At 40.8% G+C, this 19140-nt stretch overlaps 1 protein-coding gene across 8 annotated transcripts in view, besides 1 other annotated feature; it reads right to left on the reverse strand.

The window, feature by feature from the left end:
* Nucleotides 1–19140, reverse strand: part of MAP3K5 (mitogen-activated protein kinase kinase kinase 5) — a 236046-nt gene that overhangs the window by 18797 nt on the left and 198109 nt on the right. For 4 of the 8 annotated variants that reach the window (XM_017010875.2, NM_001438058.1, NM_001438579.1 and 1 more), the window contains 4 exons: nt 16595–16772; nt 16331–16499; nt 7713–7898; nt 4459–4564 (listed from right to left, as the gene is read on the reverse strand). In XM_017010875.2, coding sequence (XP_016866364.1) covers nt 4459–4564; nt 7713–7898; nt 16331–16499; nt 16595–16772 — 639 coding nt within the window. Of the gene's footprint in view, nt 1–4458; nt 4565–7712; nt 7899–16330; nt 16500–16594; nt 16776–19140 lie in introns of all 8 variants that reach the window. The other 4 variants (XM_047418784.1, XM_017010872.2, XM_017010877.2 and 1 more) reach the window with 1 other exon arrangement.
* Nucleotides 18647–18806: an enhancer, noted in NCBI's record as "active region_25115". NCBI's record gives its function as "activates an Ori minimal core promoter by ATAC-STARR-seq in GM12878 lymphoblastoid cells {active_cell/tissue: GM12878}" and the evidence as "EXISTENCE:reporter gene assay evidence [ECO:0000049][PMID:35858748]".

The following is a 19140-nucleotide window of genomic DNA, read 5'->3' on the forward strand; positions in this document are numbered from 1 at the left end:
TGCCACATTCCTTCACTGTAAAATTACTGTTTTCTCCTTGTAGTTAGTAAATATCTTGTGGGGAGACAGTTTGAAAACCATCCACATATATCCTGTTTCTCCTCATTCTTTTGCCTACTTTAGCAGTCATTGATGGTCCTTGCCTGCAATAATTATTACTGTGGTGTTTGCCTACTGGTGATTTTCTGTTTTCCTCATTCATTTTTATTTATCAGTCGCAATTCTACTATAACAAAAAGGTGATCTTTCTCGTCCATATATTTATTTATTCAATTATTTATATTAATATGGACTCACGGATGCTTATTTTATTCTATAATCTATAATCCAATATGATCATTATTTTATTGTTCAGATTGTTCTGGCTTGGACTGTTTGGAACATTTTCAGGTTGGCTCTAGTGTCCTTTCAATAAATCTCCATCCTTTTTGACACTTTCTTATTTCTGGCATCACAAGGTGTTCCAGGTATTTATTTATTTATTTATGACATGGGGTCTCGCTCTGTCGCTCAAGCTGGAGTACAGCAGTGCAATCATAGCTCACTGTAGCCTCTATCTCCTGGGCTCAAGCAATCCTCCCACCTCAGCCTCCCAAGTAGCTATGGGCATGCACCACTATGTCTGCCTAATTTATTTTTATTTTTTTAGAGACAGGGTCTTGATATTTTGGCCAGGCTGGTCTCAAACTCCTGGCCTCAAGCAATCCTCTTGCCTTGGCCTCACGAAGCCTTAGGATTACAGGGGTGAGACACCATGCCCAACTACAATCTTATCTTTTATTTCCCCTGCCCCCAGCCCGGAATCAACCACTTCTCCAAGGAAACCCAATTCCTTTTATTGAAGAATGGCATTTAGAAACCAAGATTTGGGTCTTCTCAGTAGACAGATCTAGGAAATGAACGTACAATCATGTACGGTATAATAACATTTCAGTCAAGGATGGATCGCATATATTACAGTGGTCCCATAAGATTGTAATACTATATTTTACTATACCTTTTGTATGTTCAGACACACAAACACTTACCACTGTGTTAAAATTGCCTACAATATTCAGTTTAGTAACACACCATACAAATTTGTAGCCCGGGAGCAACAGGCCATACCATAAGGCCTGCGCATCTAGTAGGCTCTGCCATCTAGGTTTGTGTAAGTCCACTCTAGGATGTTTGCAGAATGACAAAATTGCCTAAGGACGCATGTCTCAGAACATAGCCCTGTCATTAAGCAATGCATATTGTACTAGCGATGGTATACTTTTTAAAATTTGTGGTCTTCTTTCGCATGTCTTCTGAAATGGCAGGTTAACTATAGTATCTTGCATCTGAAAGGAATTTTTATCAGGGGCATTTGAAGACCGTCTGTTTTTCATGTAATTTCTTTATATCTTAATGGCATAACAAAATCTTTCAGGACATCTGAAAATTTGATGGAGTTGTTGAATGACTGACATCACTTCATTTTGTCCACATAATTCATCATTTGTATATTGGTATACAGTGTATATGGACTTATCTTATCCTGAGGGAAATACAAAAAGTACTGTCTATGTAATTCTCTTCTAAAAATTCCACTTTTCAAAAATAAATGTTTTCAAACAGTAACTTCAGTTGAAATCAGAAACTCCTAGTGGCCTCAAAGAAACCAATTTCATGGTGGAAGAACAAAGTCCTTTCTTTAGCAAACACTTTTAATAAAAAATGTGCCTTGTTCTGCACATGGTTGATCACAGCAGTGTCCATCCCTGGGACACTCGTGCAAGGACAGCTCCCTCTCTGCAACCTCCCTGCTGTTCTCCCTAAACCTAACAGAGTTTCACCTACAGTTACTTTTGCTTTTTAAACTTTCTATTCTGGAAGAATTTTAGATTCATGGAAACATTGCAAAGATAGTACAAAGAATTCCTGTATACCATCCACACAGCTCTTCCTAATATATCTTACATAACTATGGCATGTTTTTCAGAATGATTAAATTAACATTGGTATAAACTATTAACTAAACTGCAGATTTCACTCAGATTCTCAGTTTTTCACTAATGTTCGTTTTCTATTCTGGATACCACATTACATTAGGTAATCATTACTAAAAGGAAGTTTGTTTTTTTTTAATTAAGTAAACAGATCATTTATATGCTATTTAAGTTGTTTCAAAATATACTCTCTTTTTCCTTTCTTCATTTAGGTGTCCTTAATTTAGGTTGCTACTGTGTTTAACTCATGGCCCATACCTCTCCCTTTCAGTGATATACACTATTCCCCCTTCATCCCATAGATCTTTTGAATATCTAACCTCTCTATAGCACATTCCCTACAACCAGCCTTATCCTAATGATAAAGTATCTGAATATAAATATTGTTTGACTTCCTTAGAGCATGAATTTCTTAGGTTCACATTCCAACTACTAATCATGTGCTTCAAAGGCTCTCTAGAATTTTTTTCTAAGTTTCTACACCATGCAAAATTTCCACCCTAATTTGTTATAATCAGGTGAAACTCATTTACTTATTGTTTCAACCAAATATGAATCAGGGATCCGCTGTTTTCCAGACACTGTGCTGGACAGTATGCTAGGCTCAGAATAAAATAAACCACAAACAGTTACCCTCTGGTGAGGGTAACAGCCATTAAACTAGAAACAAAAGTAGTTTCAGATTGTGGCATCACAAATAGGTGAAAACCATTTCCAAGGAGAGAGAATAACAGAGGAAGCCTACTTTAGATTTGGGGATAGGTCCAGACTCTCGGTGGCCTGAAGAATGCAAAGGTGCAAGCCACAGGACAGGAGAGACATGGGGTGGAGGTGTGTTCCAGGTAGAAGTAACATGTTCAGGGATAGCAGAACTTCTGTTTCTTTCTTACATAAGAAATAACTTAATCTTGACCAATGTTTGACATAAAGATTGACACGGATGCTCTCGCTCTCATGTCAAACACCCAAGTGTTCTATGAGAAGAGAGGGAATTCCACAACTCAGAAGGGTTGGCCTGAACTTAAAAGTTTGTAGTACCATTTATAAATAATTTTAATTTAAAAATATTTCAGGGCCAGGTGCAGCAGCTCACGCCTGTAATCACAGCACTTTGGGAGGCCGAGGCGGGAGGACAGCTTGAGCCCAGGGGTTTGAGACTAGCCTGGGCAACAGAGTGAGACTTCATCTCTACTTAAAAAAAAAAAAGAAAACTAAAATGAAAATATTTCATATTGATCTTATCCTTTTAAATTTATATTTCAGAATGCTCTATAATATAGGTACAAATTAGTACAATAGAACATGTTTCTAATTTGTTTATATAAATATATATAAATCTGTATCTATCCATGTAACAATTGGTCAACTGCTCTTTCTTTCTACCTACCTACATACTCATCCATGCATCCATGCATCCACCCACCACCCCAACACACACACAGGGTGGAAGAGCTTTGCCTACAATTTTTTATTAATGGGTAGACTATCAAAACACGTTGGAGGTTTTGCCTTAGAGTATGAATACACTCCTCACTTATGCCAAAAAGCCTTGTTTCATCAACACTACCCCTTTTGTATCTCACTGCCAACATAGCTGGGGCTGTGTCTAGACCAGTGATTTCCAAACTTGGCTACTCATCGACATGACCTGAGAGCTGTATTAAAATCAAGTTCTTACAGATGGAACAAGCAGGATGTTCAGGGCTGTGAAAATATTCTTTATGATACTATAATGGTGGATACATGTTATTATATATGTAGAATTCCTAGAGAATGTACAACACCAAGACTGAACCCTAATGTGAACTATGGACTCTTGGTGATGATAACGTGTCAATGTAGATTCACTGATTGTAACCAATATACCACTCTGTGGGGGACCTTGATAATGGAGGAGGCTATGCATGTGTTAGGCTAAGGGGTATGTGCAAAATCTCTGTATCTTCCACTCAATTTTGCTGTGAATCTTAAACTGCTCTAAAAGACTAGTCTTTAAAAAAAAATCAGATTCCTGGGCTTTATTCCTGGCAGATTCTTATTTGGCTTCAGATGGGGCTTTGAAAGCTGTAATTTTAAAGACAATTAAATTGCTCAATGCAACGAGCTATGCAATACCTCCTTAAATTGCTCAATACATTGGAAGATTTGGGAACCACTGGGTAAAAGATGTAGGAATGTGTTTTGTGGTCCAGATATCTATATTTTGAAATGCGTATTTATCTGAGTCACCTGTATACTTTTTCTCTTCACATCTAAACACATTCCTTAAAGACAGGGGAAGCAAGTCTTCCTCATTCTTAGTAAATATTTTGCTTGGTGTACCATTATCCAGACTATATGTACTATTTGGTGATGTTGAAAATATTTCTTTAAAAAAGGGTATTATGGTTTTTAAAGTACTAAGGTGATATCAGAAATAACAGATGAACAGTAATCTAAAATATCCAAGCACTAAATATGTGCAGAGTAATTAAATATCTCTGACCTGGAACCAGGATGGTAATGGCTGTCTGTACCGCCTTCCGAATGATACTGTCTAAGGCAAACATCCAGTGCGGCTTGATGTTATGATTCCGAAGAACTTTATTGACCTGGAGAGAGAGTGACATTTAGCCTACTTTAATTTTTAATTGCAAATAGCCTAGATGATCGAAGCACTTGTATGAAGTTCCATTTACAAAACAACTAAAAAGTTTCTTCAACTTGAATTCTTTGTAATTCTTTATGTCATTGGAAAACAAAGTAAAAATTGCTACTTCAAATCAAAGTTTAGTGAGCCCCATGTAAGCAAATAAGTTATTTAAGTGAAAGGCAGTCTGGTTCAAATGAGAATGTTGCTTCTTTGGGACTCAGAATGTGCAGTTTTTAGCTTTTATAATGTCTGCAGAATGGATGGAGGGAGGGGGTGAAGGAGGAAGACAGGGTCTAAGAGACTTTAAATAAAAATAAAGGCTGTTCTTACTGTTCATTATTTTCAATTACTTCTTCTTATTATTATTATTATTTCATTTGTTTTGGAGACACGGTCTTGCTCTGTCACCCAGGGTGGAGTGCAGTGGCGGGATCATGGCTCACTGCAACCTGTGCCTCCGGGGCTCAAGCAATCCTCCCGCCTCAGCCTCCCAAAGTGCTGGCATTGCAGACATGAGCCACCGTGCCTGGCCATCTTAGCCATTTTTAAGTGTATGGTTCAGTGGCATTAAGTACATTCACATTATTGTACTACCATCACCGCCATCCATCCACAGAACTCTTTATCTTGCAAAACTAAAACTCTATACTCATTAAACAGTAAGTTCCCATTTCTCCCTCCCCACAGTCCCTGAAAACAAGCATTTTAATTTCTGTCTCTCATAAATTTTACTACTGTAGGTACCTTCACATAAGTGGAATTACAGTATTTGGCCTTATGTGAATGGTTTGTTTCACTTGGCATAACATCTCTAAGCTTCATTCATGTTGTAGCATGTGTCAGGATTTCTTTCCTTTTTAAGCTTGAATTATATTCCATTGTATGTATTTATCATGTGCATTACCTTTGTAAAAACAAGCTTTTAGCATAAGACTATGACAAGCTCACTTAGATTTTGGGTTAACTCTACTACCTGCTGGCTTACACAGACCTCTAAAAAAAGAGGCTATTTCCCCAACAGGGCTCTGGTTAGATACCTCTGAGTATCTATAGTATGATTATGGAAGTATAATTTTATTTAAATTCCAAAAATTTAATCACCATCCCTACTGCAGCTGGGGAGATGGTGACCCAGCCACAAACCCATGTCAAGAGCTGGAGCTCCAGTTGCTCATGCCTGTCCTTGGTCCATCTTCATCAAACTCCCCTAGTTTGGAAGAGAGTCAGTTTGAGGACTTCATCGTACTAGTTGCACAGGAAATGAACCCTTGCTAGGTTCCCACTTGTTCTAGAAAATCCATCCAGGCTGAGTTTGTCCTGGTACCTTCATTTCTTTAAAAAATTTACATACTGGCTGGACATGGTGGCTCACGCCCTGTAATCCCAGCACTTTGGGAGTCCGATGCGGGCGGATCACCTGAGGCCAGGAGTTCAAGACCAGCCTAGCCAACATGGCAAAACCCAATCTCTACTAAAAATACAAAAATTAGCTGGGCATGGTGGCAGGCACCTGTAGTTCCAGCTACTCGGGAGGCTGAGGCACAAGAATTGCTTGAACCCGGGAGGCAGAGGTTGCAGTGACCTGAGATCATGCCACTGCACTCCAGCCTAGCCAACAGAGGGAGACTCCATCTCAAAAAAAAAAAAATTTACATTCTTATTAGGTGGAAGAGGGATCTGTTATAACCATAACCTGCTCCTCTCAGCTCTTTATTACATAGCAAATTACATCATAGGGCCCATACTTTGGGTTCATTCTCATCCTGGACAGTGAATGAGCAAGAGCAGGCGTGTATGTGTACACGTGTGTGTATACGTGTGTGTGTGTGTGTGTGTGTGTGTGTGTGTGTGTGTGTGTGTGTCTGACCTGGCCCAAGGCCCAGGAGTACAACCCAATAGCTCTCAGTCTGAATTCTACAGCAAACTTGCTTTCCAACCTCTAGGCTAGAGGCCAAATGTGTGGGCAAGTGCAAATTAGCTAAATTATTTCACTCTACTTGCAGGCAGTTGGGTTTCCCTAGTTGCAGCATAAGCATGCTTTTAGCATTTAATATTAGTGATAGGCTTTGCCAGTTGCTTTAATTTCTTATGCCCTCAATCAACTCAGGACTCTTGTCCCTGCCCACAATATAGCATAAAGACCAAGTGGCTTACACAGTGTCTCAGAGAATGCTAGTAGTTATTGAAGGATTCTAATTTGGCTTTAAATTGGGGATCATTTGATGTTGCAAATAAAATTGTCAACACACTTTCTACAAAGAAGCAATACACACATTAGGGCTGAATTAATTTTGGAATTTAAATAAAATTATACTTCCATATTTATACCACAAGCACCATCAAGAACCCTCTTATTTCAGTCTCCCACATCTTGTTAAGGGTCTCCTGGAGGTGGCTTGAGGCTTTTTTGGCACTGAGTTCCACAGATAAGTCTCACCCAAGAATAACACAGAGGGTTCTGAATGCAGTACAGAAGACTGGCTTTAGTTTGTGTTGCATAGCAACTCAATTTTGGAGAGAAGACTTCTCAGCAATCTCTCATTAGATCATGTGCTTTAATTTTTAATCAGTGATGCTCTGTACTCTGAAAGTATACTTCTGGCTAGAACAGAGTAGGTATTTATGAAACAAACATGTTAAAAATGTTCTATATGAAAACTAGAGAAAAACTGGAAAAAAATTAACTGGTTTTATTCAGCAGTGACCATTTCAATCTGTACTATTAAATTTTTCTCAATGGCCACTAGATGGCATTTCTCATATAGCATTAGAAAATGTATGACTAAAGTGTGTTACGTTGCTAAAGTTGTCAAAATAAACAATGACCCAACATAATTTCATAAGAACGAAGTTCAGCCATGGGAAATATTTTGTTATTTTCCATGGTGATTTGGTTTTATGTGTTTTTTAATTTGGGGAATGCAAACACACAAAACAACAAATCAGATACTTAGAAGCACACTGAGAGGCGAATATCTCACATTTTTCATCCAAAAAGAATAGAGTTCACTGGAATTTTAAAAGAAAAATAACAGAACTTATGTTTTATCTTATTTTTCTAACTAATTTTAGTGTGTGGGAAAACACTGGCAAAATATCATACTTACAGCATCTTGAAAACCAAAGAGTACCACCTGGACTTGGCTAATGCCATGGCTGTCGAAGTCCAGCTCCAGTTTCAGCTTTGACAGTGTGGTGGCTATGATTTTTCGGTCAGTGGATCTCACAAATTCTCTGAGGCTTGCAATGAGGGTTGTGATGTGTTCCCATTTTAGTTTCGGTTCTTCAGCCCCCTGTGAATAAAAATCAACAATCCTTACATCAACATATGCTGGATATACCTGCCATGGTAATCCTATCTCCATACCCCCTGCCCCCACATTTTTTTTTCTTTTGGTAGAGACAAGGTCTCACTATATTGCCCAGGCTGGTCTCGAACTCCTGGGCTCAAGCGAGCCTCCCATCACTACTTCCCAAAGTGCTGGGATTCCAGGCATGAGCCACCATACTTCCCACAGCCCTTTCTGAGAAGAACTGGACTTCCAAATGTCTCCAAAGGAAAGACCATATTTTGAACTATATGGCACCTCTTCAATCCTCCTACCAACACCAAGAAATAATCAGAGAGAAAAGGTACCTGCCCCACACGCTGGTCAGTAGCCATGATATAGTCAGATAACAAAGCTTTGCCCAAAAAGACTAAGGCCATAAGATTCTTTCAGAAATTTTAATTGGGAACTAAAAAGAGATTTGAGCAATAAGCCATAGGATCTCAACCTGAAAGTCTGCCCGGAAAGAGAAGCTATAAAATAGGGTCATGAATATGTCCAACCATAGCAGAAGCAATGGAATTGAGAAAGACAATAGGGAGTGTATTAGTTCGTTTTCACACTGCTGAAAACACATACCCGAGACTGGGCAATTTACAAAAGAAAGAGGTTTAATTGGACTTACAGTTCCACGTGGCTGGGGAAGCCTCACAATCACGGCAGAAGGCAAGGAGGAGCAAGTCACATCTTACTTGGATGGCAGCAGGCAAAAAGAGAGAGCTTGTGCAGGCAAACTCCCATTTTTTGAAAGCATCAAATCTTGTGAGACTCATTCATTATCACAAGAACAGCACAGGAAAGACCTGCCCCCATAATTCAATCACCTCCCACCAGGTTCCTCCCACGACACATGGGAATTGTGGGAGTTACAATTCAAGATGAGATTTGAGTGGGGACACAGCCAAACCATATCAGGGAGGGAGAGGAGAAGTGGACAAGAACAGAAATGCACACCAAGCAGGTCAACAGCAACCAAGCCAGAGAAAAGATGTGCAAACTCCGGGGACTTGAAGTTCCTCAGGCTCATATTCTGTTTTCAGTGTCTGTGAGACTCGGCTAGGCACTATGATTGGAATTCCTTAAGAGTCTACTTCCCTTATTGCTATGCGTGTCTACCTATAACATGTCCTTGGTACTTCAGTTGTCCTAACGGTGTGTCAGTTCCTTGCAACCAAGAGGGGCTGATCTCAAACTTCATTTTTGAAACTACCCCTTACCCATCAATGAAGCAATTGCTTCTAAGAACGGACCGATGGACTATTTTATTACACTAAAATATATTACAATGTTCAAACAAATGCTCTTTCTCAAAATGATTTTTTCTTTTTGTTTTTTTTTTTTTGTTTTTTTTTAAGAGACAGGGCCTCTCTTTGTCACCCAGGCTGGAGTGCAGTGGCACAATCATAGCTCACTGCAGCCCCTAACTCCTGGGTTCTAGCTCTCTTCCCACCTCAGCCTCCTGAGTAGCTAGGGACTATAGGCATGTGCCACCACACCCAGATAATTTTTTTTAAAACTTTTTGTAGAGACTGGGTTTTGCTAAGTTGCCCAGGCTGGTCTCAAATTCCTGGGCTCAAGTGATCCTCCCACCTCCGCCTCCCAAAGTGCTGGGATTATAGATGTGAGCCACTTTCCCCAACCTCAGATGGAACTTTTCTCCTTTGAGCAAGGCATATTGCTTCCTTTCTTTTCTTTTCTTTATTTATTTATTTATTTATTTATTTATTTATTTATTTATTTTTTGACAAAGTCTTGCTTTGTCACCCAGGCTGGAGTGCAGTGGCTCCATTTCAGCTCACAACAACCTCTGCCTCCCAACTTCAAGTGATTCTCCTACCTCAGCTTCCCAAGTAGCTGGGATTACAGGCACCTGTCATGCCCAGCTAACTTTTGTATTTTTAGTAGAGCTGAGGTTTCGCCATGTTGGCCAGGCTGGTCTTGAACTCGTGACCTCAAGTGATCCACCTGCCTCAGCCTCCTGAGTGCTGTAATCCCAAAGTGCTGGGACTATAGGCATGAGCCACCATGCCCAGCCCACACTGCTTCTTTAAGGAAGCACAGTAGGATGTTATTTGTTCCCATTTAACTTTAAGAAAATATAAGAAACTTTAAGAAACTATTATATCATTTTTATTTTATATTGTACATTTTCTTACTGTACCATTAAAATTAAAATTCCTCCACTGGGCTGTGAAAATTATAATTTCTAGGAGTCTATTAAAATAAAAAAGAAATGCACCATCGAGTTCTTTCTCTTAATATATTTTCATTTGGAAGCTTGGTCTCATGTTTATGTTTTCATGAGATAAGATTATATTGAAAAGCTTGAAAGCTGTCATTAAACGAATACTTTAAAATCACAATGGGAACCATTATAAACTTTGTTGGTTTTTTCCTTACCACAAACTAAACTGCACCCAAGGTAAAGATTCACAGGCAAAATCATAACATCATGAAAACATGTTCAAGAAGAAAAATGTGAGTTATGCAGAAATTGGAAGCTTCTCTTAGTAAAAACTCAGTTGCAACATGTTTGCCAATAGCAAACTTCAAATGGCAAACTTTTTTTTCGACATTAACTTTGTTTTTACAACAGAAAAACATGTTGCTTCTGGTTTTTTGATGTGTGTGCTACTGTCCTGCAAAGGAACATGCTCTACTCTGGGAAATGTTTTCTGTTCAGACTATTTCATCTACTTACGTCATCATTTATTTCTGTTCTGACTCCAGTCTCTCCATGTTAACTCACTCATGTGCCTTCAAAAACAAGCATCTTGGCTAGTATCTGGTGAGCCTGACTCAGCATCAGCATAGATTTAACGGTATGCATTTCCTGCACTCCTAGTACCAGGTTGTGATGGTTAATACTGAGTGTCTACTTGATTGGATCGAAGGATACAAAGTATTGATCCTGGGTGTGTCTGTGAGGGTGTTGCCAAAGGAGATTAACATTTGAGTCTGTGGGCTGGGAAAGGCAGACCCACCCTTAATCTGGGTGGTCAAAATTTAATCAGCTGCCAGTGTGGCTAGAATATAAGCAGGCAGAAAAATGTGAAAAGAGAGAGTGACCTAGCTTCCCAGCCTACATCTTTCTCTTGTGCTAGATGCTTCCTGCCCTCAAATATTAGATTCCAAGTTCTTCAGTTTTGGAACTCAGACTGGCTCTCCATGCTCCTCAGCCTGCAGACAGCCTATTGTGGGACCTTGTGATTATGTGAGTTAATACTTAATAAACTCCCCTTTACATATATATGTATTCCATTAGTTCTGTCCCTCTAGAGAACCCTGACTAACACACAGGGTCTTCTGCAAAGATGCTCTCCAGTCTTTATCCTTTAAACTTCCTCAAAAACCAGGAAAGGATTTCAGAAGGATGTTACAGATTAAAAGGCTTTTCATGGTTTAAGGGTTTGAGGACCTGACCAATATCTAGATTTGGTTTTGTTATAAAGTGTAGGCTTAAATATAGATACAAATATGTATCTAGAAACAATACAATGGCAATAATTACTTCTGATTGATTGTAGAAAAAAATTAAAGATATTAGATAACTATTATTAGCCTGCTTGATAATGATAACAATAACAGTTAACAATTGTGGAATATTTTCTGTTATGATTTAAATCACTCACAATCTCAGTTACTCCTGATAGCAAGCTTATAAAGTAGACTCCTCTATCATAGATGAGGAGGTTCAGGCTCTGAGAAGTTAAATCGGTTGCCCAAATTGCACAGCCTTTAAGTGATGGAACCAGGCCTCAAACAGCAAGCTAAGCCCAAGCTCCTAACCATTCTATTCTACTGCCCCAATGACCTGCAATAGCAGCTGTCAACCTGGGTCAGGACCTGTTCTACCACTGAATCACCATTTGATGTCACAGGAAAGGATTCCCAACATCCTTAACAGCAGTCAGAAGGGCCCCACCATCATGTGGCCATTATGGATTCAGCATGTGATTCTGATCAGCAGTTTCGGGTACTCACTGGTAGCTTCATGCTGGTCCCCTAAGGCATGCCCTCTGATGGTTGCTTTTAAGGTTTTCTTTCATTTCTCCTTTTACAGAGGACATTCAAATGCACTTTAAAACCAGGAGGCACCAAACAATTGAATATGACTAACCACTCCCACATTTAACTATTTCAGCACAGTCATAGAAGTGATGACCAAGGCAGTCCTATCCCTGATGATGCTATGGTCCAGCAGGGAGACAAAGAATAGACCCCAACAAACTGGCATTTCCTGTACTGGAAAAGCACATTCTTTGGGGGTAATTAGAGATTTAGGCAATTCCTGGGTTTTATGTGTTTTTGACCTAAAATCAAGCATTTTAAAGGTCCACAGGAGAGGCCTTCACTCTGCAGTGGCTAATGGTGATTTACTTTCTTTCTTCACCTCCAATGCCTAATCCCCACCCCACTTTATGTTTTCCTAGCACTTGTCACCATCGGGCCTACCAGCGAGGCAGAGCAATGTGGTGGTTAAAGCAAAAACTTCAGAGCCAAACTGCCTGGGTCAAAATCCTAACTCCATCACTTAGGACTGCATGACTTCGGCAAACTACTCAAGTCCTCTGTGCCTGTTTCCTCATTCGTAAAATGAGGATGCTAATAGAACTATTGGTATAGTATTACTGTCATGAAAATTAAATGAGCAAATACACATGGAATACTAAGAACAGTAACTGGCCTAAAGAAAATGTTAGCTGTTATTACTATATGTTTTATATATATGTATAGTTTTTCTTCTTCTGCTAGAATGTCAACTTCAAGGGGATGCAGATATTTTTGTTCAGTTCGCCACAGCATCCCCAGCACATAGTACAGTGCCTGGCCTTCGACTGATGCTCAATAAGTATTTGTTGAATGAATAAATGAAAGAACTCCAAGGGCTGCCCAGCTGCTCTCTCCATCCAGCTTGGTTCCTCTTCTTGGGTCAACCCAGTCCTATTCTCAGTCTTTGAATGATCACCGTGAGCCAAAGGAAAGGCCAGAGAGAAAGCTGATGGCTCGAGACCACTCCAGTCTCCACCGCCACGAAGCATGCATGACACTCATCCTCCCTGGACTCAGAGGCCAGCTACCCCTCACTCTAGAGCACCTTCTTCCTGGGCCTCAGAGTAACTGCCCGAGACAGCTTTCCTTTAGGACCCAAGTCAAGGTTTTTGAGAGTGTGTAGAAAACACTCATTTCAGCTCTCCTTGTACTGAGGCCCTACTGGCACATATATGGCCTTTCAGCTCCTTCTATGAGATCTAAAGAGGTGGACATTAGGGAATTCCTAAGGCGATAAAATGTTTAGCAAAGAAGCACAGTGAGTTTCTCAAGGCAGAGACAGGCTGAGATTGTTTACTAAGAGCCAAGAGAGAGCTTTGCTCCATTTACATCTCAATAAAAGATGAGAACAGGTAAACTGTTGTACTGAGAGACTTTAAAAACTTGGCTAGACTCCTCTAGCCCCAACCTTTTTTTGCAGCTATTTCCTCAGGACACAGGGAGGGAAGAAGCTATGTGCAGTAGTCCACAGTGATCATGAAGGACAGGTAGAGGCCACGGCAAGGGAGGCAGGTAGATGAGTTCCCAGTACCCATTGAACTAAAAGAGGATGAGAAGTGTCATACCAGGGACTGAGTGTGTCTGTGGGAGGTTGTATCCACAAGAAGCTTGGGGCTGAGGGAAATCCATTTTTCTCCTGGTGCATATTTGGGAAGGGGATTCTTCCTTGTGTTTGTACACAGAATTCCAGGGAACACATTTTCCCAGGTATTATGGTTCTGTGTCCTCCAAATTCGTATGTTGAAGCCCTAACACTCAATGGGATATATTTGGAGACAGGGCCTCAAAAGGGATAATTAGGACTAAGTGAGGTCGTAAGGGTGGGGCCCTAATCCAATTGAACTGATGTTTCTGGTGTCCGTATCAGAAGAGGAAGAGACACCAGGGCTGCAAGTGCACCAGAAAAGGCCATATGAGCACATGATAATAAGAAGGTGGCCATCTGCAAGCTAAGCAGATAGGCCTCAGGAGAAACCAAACCTGCCAACCCCTTGATCCTGGACTTTCAGCCTCCAGAACTGTGAGAAAATACATTTCTGTTGTGTAAGCCACCCAGTATGTGACAGTTTGTTATGGTTGCTTGCCCTGGTTTGGATGTGATTTGTCCTGTCAAAATTCATGTTGAACTTTAATAGCCAATGTAATGATACTGAGAGGTGGCAGAGTCTTTAAAGAGGCATTTGGGTCATGAGGCTCATGAAGGGATTAATGCAGTTAATGTAGTTCTCAACAGACTGGGTTAGTTCTCAGGAAAGCAAGATGTCATAAAGCCAGTTGGCTCTCCTTGTCTCTCTCTTTTTTCCACTCAAGCCCCACTGCCTTTCTACTTTCTACCACGAGTTGAAGCAGCATGAGGCCCTCACCAGATGCAGATGGGCCACTGGATCTTGGACTTCCTAGCCTCCAGAACCATGAGCCCAAATAAACCTCTTTTCTTTATAAATTACTGAGTCTCATGTATTCTATTATAGCAACAGAAAATGGACTAAAACACAGCCCTAGCAAACTATTATACCAAGGAATGATAGGTTCACTGACAAGCTTTTGTTTTCTTCAGAGTACATATGGCCTTCTAAACTATTACATACAGCAGATCCTCAAATAACACTGTTTTGCCCAATGTTGTTTCCTTCTAACCTTGATGAGAAAAAAAAGAATTGATTCCTGGTAGGGGCCACTGTCTGTGTGGAGTTTGCACATTTTCTTTTCTTTTTCTTTTTTTTTTTTTTGAGACAGAGTCTCCCTCTGTCGCCCAGGCTGGAGTGCAGTGGCGCGATCTCAGCTCACTGCAAGCTCCGCCTCCAGGGTTCACGCCATTCTCCTGCCTCAGACTCCCACGTAGCTGGGACTACAGGCGCCCGCCATCACGCCTGGCTAATTTTTTGTATTTTTAGTAGAGATGGGGTTTCACCGTGTTAGCCAGGATGGTCTCGATCTCCTGACCTCGTGATCCACCCGCCTCAGCCTCCCAAAGTGCTGGGATTACAGGCATGAGCCATCACACCTGGCAAATTTGCACATTTTCTCAATGTCTGTGTGGCCTTACCTGGGGTACTCTGGTGATATGGTTTGGCTGTGTCCCCACCCAAATCTCATCTTGAATTGTAGCTCCCATAATCCCCATGTGTCATGGGAGGGACCAAGTGGGAGGTAACTGAATCATGGGGGTGGGTCTTTCCTGTGATGTTCTCATGATAGTGAATAAGTCTCATGAGATCTGATGGTTTTACAAATGGGAATTCCCCTGCACAAGCTCTCTTGCCTGCCGCCACGTAAGATGTGACTTTGCTCCTCATTCACCTTCCACCATGATTGTGAGGCCTCCCCAGCCATGTGGAACTGTGAATCAGTTAAACTTCTTTCCTTTATAAATTACCCAGTCTCAGGTATGTCTTTATTAGTAGCATGAGAACAGACTAATACATATAGTTTCCTCCGCATCCCAAGGATGTGCACGTTAGGTTCATTTGTGTGTCTACGTGGTCTCAGTGTGGGTGTGTGTGTGTATGTACCCTGCAGTGGAATAGTGTCCTTTCCAGGGCGGGTGCCCGCCTGGTACTGAGCTGCCAGAATAGGCTCTGGCCACCCATGGCCTTGAACTGGGTAGATAGTTATCTTGTTTTTATTCATCTTTCTTAAATGTATATAGAGTTCACATTTATTTCAATGTAGAATATTAGAAGTGTTTTAGTCTTTATTTAGGAGTTTGGTCATGTTTTTGTGACCAGAAATATGCCATAGGAACTTAACTCTTGTTTATGTCAATTAGTCTACGGCAAAACTGGTTTGGTTATATGTAATTTTGCTTCAGTCACAGTTTCCAAGGACTTATCAACTACATTAAGTGAAGACTCACTACAATTTACTTCCCTTTGCCCTTCACCCTCCTTTTAAATATAACCTTACAAGCTCAGGGGTTCTGTTGTATTTGCTGATGTTTCCCAAATGCTGAGAGGAGCGACTGGCAGGTAGCCTCATGCTAATGTCAGAATTAGCAACTCACATGGCTTAATGTGTGTTTATTGATGGAATGAATAAACAAATGAATGAAGAGTAAAAGAGGCTTGTAGGGGCTATTTGGAATGTCACCAATGTGAAAAATTTGCTTCTGACTTAAAAATAGCTTATGTTCAAAAATGCAATGAAAAAATCATTTCCCTATTTTCATATTAATATATTCCCTACCATAGGGTTTGCCTTCTTTTTTCCTGTGGGGTAGGTTTATCATGATGATCACTACAGGTTCCTCTTGCCTTTCACATCATCTGTGACAGCTGCAGGCGGTTAGGACACAGATAAAATATGTAACCTTTGGGAAATGAAGCACCTGGGAGAGGATTTACCTGAGCTAAAGATTCCATTAGGTTTCTCACAATTTTGTCTTGGTCTTCCGTCAGGATCCTGTGAAGGGTAGCTCGCCTCTCACTGTCCTTCCTCAGCATGAAGAATCCAGAATCTTTTTCTTCAGGGGAAGGAGGAGCACTGTGATCTTCAAAATTCTCATCTGGAATGCTGAGAAAATTTATGCAGCATAAATCACAGTTCCCTTTATAAAATGACACACTTAACAACACACTTCTCTCACCCCAAGTAAGTCAGGTCTTTACCCCAAAAAGAGTGTCCGAATTCCCTTGACATCTCTTTCTCCGCAGGACTTGGCTCTTGTTTTGAAAGAGAAGGGGTCCACTTTCAACTCCGTGTCGGGTGAAACTGAGCCGTACTCACTGCTGCTGCTGGTGTCCTCCACCAGCACAGGTACCGGCAAGGATATACTCCTGAGATATTCTGCTTGTGATGAGAGGAGGGAAAAGATAATTGACACTTTAAAAAATGTACACATACTGAAACACCCATTGAAAGAGGCCATATTCTTTGTCAAATATCTTGTTGCAATGAGCAGCATAATTATGCTATGTAAGGGAACGGTCATGTGTTATGACTGCCTCCCTTGCTCAGCATAACCCATACAGCAGGGTAGCCAGGAAAGGGCCTCCCAGGCCCTGGGAGGGATATCTCTGGGGTACCAAAACAGTCAAGGAAGCCCAAGTTCAGTGGGTCTACTGAGGGTCTGATCCCCTCATTTTTACTGACTACTAATTATTTCTATTTATGGGTCTCAGTTTTCATATTTATCAAATTCAGGGTCAGATTGATAATCTTTAAGCCTGTTCTTCAGGGGCTTAAGTGTCTCCATTAGCATCTTGGGGCTGCCTTGGTTGGGATGAGTGAGTGGGATGCTGTAGGTCTAGACCACAGGTTCCAATCCTGTTATACCTGAAACCAGAGAAAATATGCTGACTGTCATATATCACAGTTCTGCTTAAGGATTCATATAAAAAAGGATTCATCACTGAAAACAAATTTTGGAAACAGATGGACTAGATGATCTCTTAGGTCTGTCCTGGTTCTCAGATACTATGATTCTCTAGTAGACATGAGCTGCTTCTTTATTTGGATGGAGAATAAGACAGTGGAGTTGCCTATATTTCCTCAAACATTGGTTTTAAAGAAAGCTTCATAGGTTGCTCTGGGTGTCAACATCTTTCCAGCAGATGGGGAAGAAAGAGTAGGAGGATCTCATAGGAAGTTTTTATGAATCATGCTTGGGTGAGTTGCCACTCGGGCCCACCATCCATTGCCCAAGCCTCAGTCCACCAGCCACAGTTACTTGCCAGGAGGCTGGGAAACCCCAGAAGGAAAAGGAAACAGGTCTGGAGGACAGCTAGTCAGTCTCTGTATATGTATGCCTGAACAGTTCACAGAAAGAAAAACACAAAAAGCTCCCAAATGTATATAAAACTTCTCAGCCTCACTCCTAATGAGAGAAACGGGTATCTGAATCACAATAAAATACTGTCCATGATCTATCCTATGGACAGATATGCAAAAAAAAAAAAAAAAAAGAAAGTGGTTTTTGCCAGAAACATCTTTATCAAACACACATCCTAATGCTACAAAAGCATTTTAATAAAGAATGAAGGTATAAAATTATAGAAAAGGAAATCCACTGTTGCCTGGAATCTCCTTCTTACTTAATTCCTCTTGGGCTGAACTGAATCAACTGCCCTGATCTCAAGGATAGGGGACTCATGACATTGGTTTCAGCTGTAGCGAGAAAGACGGAAGTACATACAGCTTTCAGGAACAGCTGACCTCGGGGGAAACCACCTTACTGGTCAGTAACTGGAAAGTCTCCCCAGGATGAATTGGTTGACTTATCTGCTGTTATTTAAATAGTTCTGTAGCTGAATCACTAGAAGGCAGGAAGCAAGAGGAAGCCACAAAGAGTTGCTGAATTGACCAATTAAGTACCAGTATGCAAATGATATATGGCAGGGGAAATGCCTGGCATGTATTGTTTCCACATATTCTGGAGCAGCTCATGGGCCTAGCATTTCACGGACCATATTTTGGGCAGTGCTGCTACAGCAGAAAGGAAATGGGTGACCTCTTCCTTGCTGGTAATAGTAAGGTTGTCTGAGAGAAGAAAGGTTTGAAGGGGGGCCCAAACACCAAACTGCTTTTGAGTCATTCCTGGGGAAGGTCAAGGTCTATAGTGTGCCTTGTTTCACTTTAGAGTCAACATCTCGCTATTTGGGGGGAACGGACTTTAGAACAGAAAAAAATAGCTGCTTGGGAGAAAGAGTTTCACTGCTATGAGATGTCAAGTCCCTAAAGTTAAATGTTACTGATGGAAGAATACAGCTGAAGAAGAGCTCTTGGCTTGACTGAGTAGCTGATCTCTTTACAAGAAGGGATACAAGCCCTGCAGTGGAACTCACTGCTGATCCTTCAGACTTGGTGAGTTTCTTCACCAGCCCATTTTTATGAGATGCATGCCACACTCAGAAACGGAGGTGTGCATCATTCATATTTCAAAGACAAAATTGTTGTTTCTTGGGAGTAAAGAGACTAGTACAGACTAGACTAGAAGAGTACAAGATGAGGGATTCCTATCGTGTGTTTCCGTGTTTGTGTGTGTGTGTGTGTGTGGTAAATGTATGTGTATCTAAAGAAGAGAAGGAGTAAGGACTTGAATTATCCTGTATTTTGGCTTTTTGGTCATATCATGTGGTTTGATTATCCAGTAATGAGAGGACTTGTGTCACGCCTGTGAATTTTAACGTTGCTGTGACTACCGACTGCCTAAAAG

The sequence above is a fragment of the Homo sapiens genome, chromosome 6 (assembly GCF_000001405.40).
Source record: "Homo sapiens chromosome 6, GRCh38.p14 Primary Assembly".
Taxonomy (NCBI): Eukaryota; Metazoa; Chordata; class Mammalia; order Primates; family Hominidae; genus Homo; species Homo sapiens.